The sequence below is a fragment of the Homo sapiens genome, chromosome 9, assembly GCF_000001405.40.
Source record: "Homo sapiens chromosome 9, GRCh38.p14 Primary Assembly".
In the NCBI taxonomy this organism is placed as follows: Eukaryota; Metazoa; Chordata; class Mammalia; order Primates; family Hominidae; genus Homo; species Homo sapiens.
The window spans coordinates 117,646,525-117,658,586 of record NC_000009.12 but is presented as its reverse complement, the minus strand read 5'-3'; the positions used below and the strand labels follow the sequence as shown (position 1 = coordinate 117,658,586).

General features: G+C 40.2%; 1 long non-coding RNA gene across 1 annotated transcript; it reads right to left on the bottom strand.

Annotated features, from left to right (window-relative positions):
* Positions 1-1,559: 1,559 nt before the first annotated feature.
* Positions 1,560-9,981, bottom strand: LOC101928797 (uncharacterized). The gene is made up of 6 exons (NR_109806.1): positions 9,892-9,981; positions 7,610-7,735; positions 6,140-6,299; positions 4,846-4,956; positions 2,800-2,979; positions 1,560-2,191 (listed from the first exon to the last, which is right to left on the bottom strand). It is a non-coding gene; the product is annotated as an uncharacterized LOC101928797 (long non-coding RNA).
* Between the last annotated feature and the right edge of the window lie 2,081 nt (positions 9,982-12,062).

Here is a 12,062-nt window from a genome sequence, read left to right as displayed (position 1 = left end):
TTGACAAATGGGATCTAATTAAACTAAAGAGCTTCTGCACAGCAAAAGAAACTACCATCAGAGTGAATAGGCAACCTACAGAATGGGAGAAAATTTTCTCAATCTGCTCATCTGACAAAGGGCTAATATCCAGAATCCACAAAGAACTCAAACCAATTTACAAGAAAAAAAACAAACAGCCCCATCAAAAAGTGGACGAAGGATATGAACAGACACTTCTCAAAAGAAGACATTTATGCAGCCAACAGACACATGAAAAAATGCTCATCATCACTGGCCACCAGAGAAATGCAAATCAAAACCACAATGAGATACCATCTCATGCCAGTTAGAATGGCGATCATTAAAAAGTCAGGAAAAAACAGGTGCTGGAGAGGATGTGGAGAAATAGGAACACTTTTACACTGTTGGTGGGACTGTAAACTAGTTCAACCACTGTGGAAGACAGTGTGGCGATTCCTCAAGGATCTAGAAATAGAAATACCATTTGGCCCAGCCATCCCATTACTGGGTATATACCCAAAGGATTATAAATCATGCTGCTATAAAGACACATGCACACGTATGTTTATTGCAACACTATTCTCAATAGCAAAGACTTGGAACCAACCCAAATGTCCATCAATGATAGACTAGATTAAGAAAATGTGGCACATATACATCATGGAATACTATGTAGCCATAAAAAAGGATGAGTTCATGTCCTTTGTAGGGACATGGATGAAACTGGAAACCATCATTCTCAGCAAACTATCACAAGGTCAAAAAAAAACAAACACCGCATGTTCTCACTCATAGGTGGGAACTGAACAATGAAAACACTTGGACACAGGAAGGGGAACATCACACACCGGGGCCTGTCGTGGGGTTGGGGGAGGGGGCGGGATAGCATTAGGAGATATACCTAATGTAAATGACGAGTTACTGGGTGCAGCACACCAACATGGCACATGTATACATATGTAACAAATCTGCACATTGTGTACATGTACCCTAGAACTTAAAGTATAAAAAAAAAAAAAAACTGCAAGTCACTTGCAAGACACCAAGTGATAGAGGTAGACACCAGGTGATAGAGGTAGGGCCTGGATCTGGATCCTTGAACCCTCTCTCCAATCTTTTGTTATTTCTAGAACACACTGAGTCGGCTCTCCACAGTTATGAGATGAGCCACAATTCTGGATATTGAACTTCCTTTCTAAGATCACATTATTTTTGTCTAAATCATGGGTTACTGAGGGAAGATTATCTTCAGGGTAAAGGCAAAATGAGTAGAGATGATCCAAGCTCCAATGTTAAGTCATAGAGTCACATGCAGTAAGCATTCCACATAGCACTCTACTGTGAATATTTTTATCATTTCAAAATTCAAGGCTTCTATAAAAATATCTATTCACAGCTCTGCCTCTTGGGTTCACCATGGTGTCTACCAACCTAGAAAGAAAGAATTGTAAAAAAGACTCAAACAAAAACTCAGCATCCTTACCTTCTAGCCATATCCCCACAGCATCTGTCATTCTAGCAGATCCTACCAGATATTAAGAAACATTAACATTTTATTTCTTCATTCACACATTTTATTATAAATGCAATAAATCTTATCTTAGATATAATCCCTAATGAATCCAATGAACAATTCATGTCAGTCCATGACTAAATACAGTTTTCATAAGGTTTAAACAAATGCTATGAGAAGTCTCTCACTAAGATATGCCCAGAGGTACAAACAATTCTTAGATATCCTTTTCAGCCACTGTATTAAATTGAAACAAATGATATGTGCTTATAGTTACATGTTGTTGAAAGTCTAAGAGTAATTTCTACAAGATTAATTGAATGATCAGACACATTAAATGCTAATAAGCAGTTATTACCTCCCTGTCACCTATCAATAACAACATTTATAAAATCAAAACATAGTTTTTCCCCATAATATCCAAGTTTGTTCATTCAAGAGATATCATACAAAAACTAAGTCCAGTTCAACTCTGTAGATACAGAGACAGCTGGCTGGGAGGTCTGTGTGTTCTCAACCTGGCTCCCACTGGTAGTAAGTTGGGGACTCCTGAATGACTGCAGGGCTGGAAGTGCTGCATTAATTTTAATTCAACCAAATCACAAGACTCTCACCTAGACCCCAACTTTCTTGATACATAATCCTCTGAAGTATGGTTTTCAGGATTCCTAATACCTAGAAGATTAAAAGCAGAAAATTAGAAGCTGAGTAAGAGCTTTCCAGACAATAAGAAGGGAGACAGAAAAAATCACAAAATGCAGCCATAAGAATTTAAGAAGCAGCATAAATGAAGCTATTTAGTAAAAGGGCAAAAGCTCGGCATGCCTCAATAGGACATGTCTCATGAGAAACCAGTGTGATAATGGATGAGATCATTACACACAGTGCCAAGCACAACGTAAGCACCCAATACATAGAAGCTATTTAAAATGCTAAGAAACAAGACACCAAGGCACTACTGTATTAGGGTATGGTATCAGATCAGATGTTTATAATGCCAATTTCAAACAATCACATAAAAGTAAAACAAAATCTATCAGTTTCTATAGAAGATTAGTTTGTAATCTTCTATTTAGAAAGAATTCTGTAAACATGATTAAAAAGGCCAGTATGTTCTTTTGAAAGAAATAAGCTTCAGTTTTCTAAAAAAGTCAATTAAGTAGAATATCTTATTTTCTGAGAATGTCACACAAATGGGGACAATCTTATGAGCATTCACCATTGTAATCTGTTTGGTACTTTTACACTGGATTAGAGGTTATACATCGCTTATCCTAAATTACCTATTTTCCTTCCGGCAGGTCAGCCAGGTCTTTCCTTAGGGCTCTGTCTGCTCTTGGTTCTTATGTGCTCTCCATATCCACTTCACATACTCATCTAATGCGTGGATTCATCCATGCTTTATTCATCACCTATCTCATTGCACAAAAGGTTTGTGGTGGCTTACAGGAAAAACATACAACCTGATAGTGAGAAATGAATATATACATAAAAATGAGGATAAAGGAATAGATTTCAGTGGAAATACTTGTTTGCAGGTAGGCTGCATCCAAAATAGAGAGCAGGCATGGTGGATGTGTCTGGCAAGCAGGTGGCCCAGCTGAAGCCTAATTCATAAGAATCACCACGGGATGTGAGTGGGAGAGGCAGTGTATAGATAGATATGAACAGGTATAGATAGAGATAGATATCAATATTTATATAGATTTTTATAGGGAGACACTAAATGAATATCTATAGGGAGATAATAAATGAATATTCATAGAGATATGTATAGGTAGATACAGATATCTATATAGGTATAGATATAGACAGATCAGTGTCTGCATTGATATTTATATCTATAGATATCGGTATTTATAGATGGCTATCTCCCTATATCTATATCTACATCTATATCTGTATAATTTTCTATAGATCTGTGTCTATGTCTATATTTACCTACGAATGAAAGGTAAGGACAGCTGAGTCAGGTGACCCAAGAACAAAGTCTAATCATCAGAGTGGATCATAATTTCAGGTACAGTACTAAGACCGTTCTTTGAATCTGTTGCTAAGCCAGTGAACTGGAAGGGTATATGTGCTGCAAGCAGACAGTGAAAGCTCTAGTTCAGCAAATGCAGGCAAGCAAGGAGGAACAGTCTACACTGCCATAGGACCTCTCTAATAAGCTGTAACATAAATGGGGGAGGAGGAGGAGTTAAATATCCCCTTCAACTTTGCCTCAGGCTTCTGAGAATCTCTTGCTCTGTGATGACTCAAGGGATGAACGGTGGCACTGGCAGGTCAGTGGCAACCACTGTTAGGAAACTTTAGAACCACGGAGAAACCATGGTGCACAGTGGACAGAGAAGCAGAAATACCCTCCAAGGAAAGTCGTGTCACATGGAAAAGAGGTGTCACGGCAGGGGTTGGCGAAGCAAGGATGGCCACCAGTGCACCATTGCTAAATTAGTCACAGTGGCCATGCAGACTGCTACAACTTCTGGATGGGAACAAATGCTTTGCTTAGGTTTTTATAATACATAAAACAGAAAATAAAGCAAAGGCCACAGAGACTAAAGGAAAGGAGGAAGAAAGCACAGGAGGTGCATGAACTTTGGCTGGAGAAGGTTTTCCTTGAAGCACAAAGAAAGGCTGCACAGAGATGCGGGTGAATAAGTTTTTAGCTAATTTATTTTTAGCTAATTTATTTTTGTATGTGTGGTTTGTTTTATGGAATTGTGACAGAAAGGCTGGAAGGAAAACGTAGGACATTTTAATGAGTGTGGATGTGGCCTATGCATGGCATTACTGTAGTGTTATTTGAGGATTGCAAGTAAAGATGAATGTATGCTGAAAATGCTTTTGGGTGATTGGACCATATTCTCCATTATAGTTCCTAGGACTGGACCAGAAAGGACATGGCTTTGTAAGAGCTTTCCTAGCAATGTCTTTTTGGCCATCTGTGGGAAATTCTGCTGTCCAACACAGCAGAAGTTCCTGAGGGAACACGGGGAGCTGCAAAGCAAAATGTGTCCCTGAGCATACGTAAGAAACTTCCAGGAATTAAATAAAACAACAACAACAACAACACTCTTCAGGGGATGGGAGAGGAGGAGGTTTTGCAGGAGGAGAAAAAATGGACAAGTCCTGTGTCAACGGGTGTGGCAGGGAGATACTACAACTTGAATTATCGCTCATAATGAATTCACAGACTGGTAAATTGGGAAAATGTGGATTTTATGTGAGTTATAATAAGAGGATTCCCCCATGTGTTTATAAGAAGATTGTTCCCAATCACCTAAAAGGAAAATAAAACTTATTTTCATATGGCAGAAGAAGCTCACCATAATCTGGCTTTCACTTTTGCCTCATCCTTTAGACGCCTTCCGTTGTAATCAATGCTCTAGATCAATGATCCTCAACTGCAGGAGACTGTGTCACTCTGCTCAGGAACACTTGGCAATAGACATGGAGACATTGTTGATTGTCACAGTGAGGGGATGGAAAAGGATGCTACAGTCACTAGTATCTGGTGAGTAAAAGTCAGCGATGTTTGCTAAACATCCCACCATCTGCATGACAACCCCTAAAACTATGATTACCTGGCTCCAAATGTTAATAGCACCCAAGGTAAGAAACTTTACTCCAGATTCATTTAATGGTTTGTAATTTTTTGCCTTGACTCCTGATGTACCCAGTTGATCTCTGACACATCTCTTCCCTTTTCCTGGAAAATATTCCCCATTACAAGCAACAATCAAACTCTTTGTTGTCCATATTCCCACTCAACTCTTATAATCTCTTCAAAAACTTCTTTGGCTTTCAGAGAATGACTTGGGTGCTGTTTCCCAGATTGTGCTGCTGCGTTTTGTGTATACTTTCATTATGGCAATATCATAATTATTGGTAATTTCTTAATGCCCCTCCCCACTATACTGTAAATTCAACTAGGCAGGGAGGGCCCAGACCTTTTCATTACTGTATCTCCTACACTTGGCCTTGTGTGATCAGTAAATATTTGTTGAGTAAATAAATAAATAATTTAATCTCAGGGGCACTTTCTTTGATTTTAAAGATTGGGCAAAATAACATCTGCCCTCTCTTCACATATTTCCTTTTTTTTTTTTTTTCAGACAGAGTCTCACTACTCTGGAGTGGTGAGTAGACTCACTCACTAGACTGGAGTGCAGTGGCACAATATTGGCTCACTTTAGTCTCTGCCTCCCAGGTTCAAGCAATTCTTGTGCCTCAGCCTCCTGAGTAGCTGGAACTACAGGTGCATGCCAGTATGCCTGGCTAATTTTTGTATTCTTAGTAGAGATGGATTTCATCATATTGGTCAGGCTGGTCTCGAACTCCTGACCTCAGGTGATCCACCTGCCTCAACCTCCCAAACTGCTGGGATTACACTTGTAAGTCACCACACCCAGCCACATATTTCTTATCATGATTGAATGAGATAATGGATAGCAAATTTTAAAATATGTTCCATAATGATAATAGCTTCCATTTGCCAGGCACTTTCTATGAGCTTGCTGCTGCATTAGCTGCTTTCCATGTAACACTACTTATTGTCCCACATTAGTAAGATGAGTATTATTGTTCCCCTCTGAACTGATAGAGACAACAGGAACTTACAAAGGATTCTTAAGGCATCAGGAATTCGAGTGATTTGTCAAAGATCATAGAGTTAGTAAATAGTAGATCTGAGGCTCAAATCCAAATTTTGGGAGTGAAGACATGGGTGTAAACCTTGACATCACTGCAAAATCCTGAAGGTTCAAAGATAGGGAGATTCCTAAAGAGAAAATTTATCCAACATAGTCAAGGAAAGAATTTTTATTGCTTTTATCTTACCAACAGTGAGAACTTCCTTGCAGAACCTGGAGTTTTAACAGCACAATTGCCCCACCTGATTAATCAGAATTGCTGTTTGTTTGTGCATGGAAGATAACTCATTATGGCAAATATGCATTATAAGGCCATAATATATGCATTTATTCAATTAAGTCTAATGTATTATTTAAGGCTTGGTGTGTGATATTTATCACTAGCAAATGCTAATTTATACAGATTATCAGAGTCTAATTAGGTATACAGCTTGTGAGGACAGTCTGTTACTTGGAAGGTACAGCCATGACTTACTCTACTCCAGACCAGTATATTTATCAAAAGGTTTGGCAACATGGGCCACATATACACTTTAGTCTATAAACAGTTTTAAAGGTAAATGATTGGACTCCATTGCCATGCCTTCCTCTATTCCTTGTAAATCCACTGCCAGCATCTTGCAACAGTTCCACTGACCCAGGAGGGTTTCCTTAGAATCATGCATCCTCTTGCACATCGATGCACAACTCTGCCAACCAGAGTTGGTGCTGGTTGAGCAGTTTTCTTCCCATAAAACCAACACACCTATATGCTTTAGTTAGGAGACAATGGAGCTCTTGAAACATTCACTCAACAAACAAGTACTGAAAAATCTACTCTATGCCAGGGTTTGTATTGGACATGGAGGATACAAAGATGAATGAGGCCAGGTCCCTGCATCAACCATCAGGATTATACAGACCTCTAGAGCACACGTTTAGCATCCCACATTTCTGGGATAGAGCCAGGGCTCTGTCATTGACCAGCTGTAACGCTCAAATGCCCAGTTTCCTCATCTATAACAGAATTTATCTCTACTTATAATATTGTTACAAGTATCAAAGAAGTTACTGTTTGTGATACTGGATATAAACCAGCTCTCTCATCCATGCAGAATCAGCCCTTGGGTTCTCTGCATCTTCATTCCAGAATTTCAATCATGCCCAACATTTCTTGGTTTCTTCTGAAGATTTCACTATAGTTTTCCTATGGCGATGAAAGTATAGTTTATAGTTCTTGTTCTCCAGCTATCTACCTTAAAAATCTTTATCAGAAACGTTCCTTTCTCCAAGTAGCTTTTTTTTTCTTGCCCCCCTTTCCCCAGAAAGAACATACCCCATTCTCTATGGTCCTCACCAGGTCAGCTCTCTTTTCAAATTTCCATGCCTTTCACATCAGAAAGAAATTCCTGAGGTTTAAAGGATCCAACTGGGCCAAGGGATCTTTGAAAAATCCTACCTCTGTCAGCTGCAATTCTTGCCCATTTGTGTGGGATGCATTGCTCTTGATTTGGGAAAACGATGGACTTGATACTTTATCACTGTATATGAGCTGCTGAGTTACGAAGGGATCATTTCTATGAAACTAAAGAAAAAGGGAAAGAAAGAATTAGATGTCTTTCAAACAAGACAAATGCACTATCAACTTTAAATTTTGTAAAATCTTCTGGAAGGTTACATGTCTCCCAGCTGCCGGCATAAAAGTATCAATTCCTGATAGCCTTGGACCGTTTTTGTTGTCAGGCTTGAGGCTATTTTACCAGAAATTATGGAGACGAAATATTGAGCAAAATGAAACAGAGCAATGTAAGTTCCCATTATTTTAGTGTAACCATTTCTTCAACTTAAGAAGAGTTAAAATAATTGTATTTACCACCATATATGCCCCACAAGGATTCATTCTATAATTAACATGATATAATAGTAGTATAATCAATGAAGTAAGCAAGCCATTAAAAAGGGGGGAGATCGGATCTCAACACATCCTTGCACCTGATCTTCCTCCACTCCTTACTCACCCTTTTCTTCAACTAAAGGGCACTTCTGTTCTCATAGATGCCTGACAATCACTCCTCTCCCGCTTTGGGGTTTTCTCCTGTTATTTTCTTAGTCTAGAAGAATCTCCCTGCCCACCTCCACCTATACATGCCAAAGTCTCACCCATCCTTCAAAGCTCAGCTCAAAAGCAATTAATTTTTTGAGCCCATGCTACATACTAGACACTGATTAGTTACTCTATATTAACTCACTGAATTCTCATAACCACCCAAAGTTGAGAACTTTTATTATCCCCATTTCACAGACAATGGCACTGAGACCCAGAAAGATTGATTAATGGACTTCCCCCAAATCAAAGAACTCGTGTTTGGTGAAGCTGGAGTTTGAATCCTGTGATCTAACGGCAGAGTCTCATGCCCTAAACTTCTATGCTCAATGCCTTCTGTGATTGTCTCTTGGAATGTTTTTCCCTCCTTTGAGTTTTCTATATGTTCACTTTATGTTACTTTAGGTTCAGTTCTTTTAAGACACTTTTCATTCGATTTTTTTGTTTTTGAGACAGGATATTGCTCTATTACCCAGGCTAGAGTGCAGTGGTGCAAGCATGGCTCACTGCAGCCTCGACCTCCAAGACTCAAGTGATCCTCCCATCTCAGCCTCCCAGGGAGTTGGGACTACAGGTGTGTACCACCATGCCCATTATTTTTTTGTTTGTTTAGAGATGGAGTCTCACTATGTTGCCCAGGCTGCTTCTGAATTCCTGGGCTCAAGGGATCCTCCTGCTTTGGCCTCCCAAAGTGCTGGAATTACAGGAATGAACCACGACACTTTGCCTTCACATTCTACCTTGCATTTAAATTATGTCTCCCCCTTAGCTTTCTCCTAGTAGACTAGTTGAGGGCTTAACCCACTTGTTTTCCTTGTTGACTTTTTAGAAAAGAACACATGATAGGAACCCCGTCAATATACAAGCATAGAAACCGTGGACCAGAATAAAACCACACAATTTTTCTGCAGAATGAGTGACATCCAAGAGGTCACTCTCAAACAATGGAAATTTAGGGAAATAGTCTGTGGTTAAACAAAGGATTTTCCCCCTTACTCATGCAATACTTTGGGCTGGAACGTTGGTTTATAAACTGACTGATTATGAGTGTGCTGGGGACTTTTAAAAAAAAAAAAAAGAGTAGAAGATTTGTCTTCTCAGCAGGAAATGAGGAGGGAAAGATTAGGCAACTGTAAAGAAGCCAATTTGTTTTTTTCAAACATGAAAGGAGAAAAATATATAATTTAACCAAGAAATTATCTCCAAATGCCCAGGGAACCCCCTGCTTGTCCAAACAGACAAAACACTCAAACATTCTGTGTGTTTTTGCAGGATGTCAATTTGGCGCTGGCAGTGGAGGGGAGTAGGATTAGGCATCCATAGACACAGACATGCAAGGCAAGACGTAGAAGAGCCAGCCAGGGAAGATGAGCGAGACTAGCAATGGCTGTGAGGCCAAAGGCTATGAGCAACTTCAATGCACACGTGGTGTGACTGAGAGAGGAACTCAGCTCTATATGCCTCCCATTAGCTCTTCAGTACCTTCCCAAATTTGCTTGATATTAAGAATCATCTGAGATGATGGTCCAAAACACAGATTCCCAGCCTTCCTCCCAAGCCTCCCGAGTAAGTCTCTCCACGAGGTACCCTGGAATTTTTAAACTCAACAAGCACGCTTAATGATTCTGAGGACCCACCTGAGGCAGGGAAGCACTGTTGTGGGCAATGGGAGCTGAATTCCGGTTCTGCGATACGCTGGAATGTCCAAGTCCTCAGGGTAAGGTAGCAGAAGAAGGGCTGCATTGGAAGTTGAGAGAACAGTGGGTCCTGTAGACTCATTGGTCCTTGATGCTTCAGTTAGGAGCGCTTGCCCATCTCACACTTTTTCTGATGTGTCCATGTAGTGCTTTATGAAGTGGACACCTTGATTTCTGAGGGTCTGTTGCCAATGTTACCCCATCATGACCATTTAACTAAAAAGACTGAGGCATTCCCAAAACAAATTCTTAGTAAAAAACTATGAGTCTAGAGTAGGAGCAGGATTTGCAGGCTTTGCAGGAGGAGGCTTTGCAGCAGCCAGCTTCCAAGATTGCCCTTTGTTATTCTACTTGATTGATAGTGTGCCCCTGTGCAGACTACTTCCATACTGGGTAGAGCTGACCAATGTCACCTGTAAGATGTTGTGAAGATGGTGGTTTGACTTTTAAGATAAGCCATAAACAACACTGCAGGTTCCATCTTGCTCTCTTGGATGGCTCTTTTTGTAAGGAGCCAGCCACCATACTGTGAAGGAATTCAGCAAACAGCCCTATGGAGAAATCCAGATGACCAGGAACTGGGGCCATTCACAGCAGTCATCATGGACCTGACAGTTGAGCCACCTGGGAGACAGATACCCCAACCACAGGTGAGCCCTTAGATGACTATGGCCCAGGCCAACATTTTGGCTACCACCTCCTGAGAGATGCTGAGCCATGATCACCCATAAGCCTCTCCTTAAATTCTGATTCACATAACTATGAAAGGTGGCAGAGTTTATCATGGTTTTAAGTTGCTACATTTTGAGATAATTTGTTATGCAGCAATAGATAAATAATACAGTTTCTCTCTCCCTTGTGTCTGATATTGGTTGAAAGAAGGTCTAGGAGGCTGGGCATGGTGTCTCATGCCTGTAATCTCAGCACTTTGCAAGGCCAAGGTGGGTGGATCACCGAGGTCAGGAATTTGAGACCAGTCTGGCCAACATGACAAAACCCCATCTCTACTAGAAAATACAAAAATTAGCCAGGCATGGTGGCATGTGCCTGTAATCCCAGCTACTCAGGAGGCCGAGGCAGGAGAATCGCTTGAACCTGGGGAGGTGGAGGGTGCAGTGAACCGAGATTGCACCACTGCACTCCAGTCTGGGTGACAAGGCAAAGTGAGACTCCGTCTCAAAAAAGAAATAAAAAAATAAAAAAATAAAATAAGAGGTCTCGGAATGGATGGTTCATGTAGACGGTATGTGGCATAATAACAACCAGCATGTGTGGAATCCATACTAAACACTTTACATCATTTCATTTCATTTAATTTCATCTCATTTAATCTTCTCAAAAGGCAGGCACATTTATCCTCATTGTATAGTTGAAAAAACTAAAGTTTGAAAAAGTCATGTCTTATGTCCACAGCTTTTGATCTAGTAAGAGTGAAGTCAGAACTTGAAAGAAGGTCTGTTTCCAAATGACTTCCCTGCTCTTGGTCTGCTTCCTGGGGCATCTGTGGGCATTTTGTACCCATCCTACCTTACCCTCGTTGAATGTGTGCCACCTCATTTAGACTTGGTCTGTACATCTGCAGAAAGAGGATGCGTTAGGCTGCTGCTGCTTGGATGTAGTGAGGGGAATGCTGGCCCAAGTTCAGTCTGGCTGAATCACAGTTGCCTCATTGACAAAATGGGGAAAATAATTACTATCTCACAGGGCAGTTGAAATAATTCAATTTCATAATGCCTATGCCATTGTTTTACAAACTCTAACAGCTAACACCAAAGTAAATTATTGTTTTTATCATGATTTTTGTTATGTTCATCTATGCCAAGCTCATAAAGATTATGGGATTAGAAGAGCCAATTACAACAGCCCACCCAGCGTCTATGGAAGGGCCCCAACTTTAAAGGCAGTCAATATATCCATTTTTTCCAGAACATGAAAGAAACGTTGAATAGCTATTTATTGTCTTCCAGCTATAATTGATTATGGGATGAGAGTTGTTTTGTCGATCTTCCATTACAGTGCTTGAATAAAAGGTTAGTAAATAATAATGATAACAGAGAAAAACAACACATTCTTTCTCAAATCCCACCCACGCTGCCTCTCTGACTTGTGTA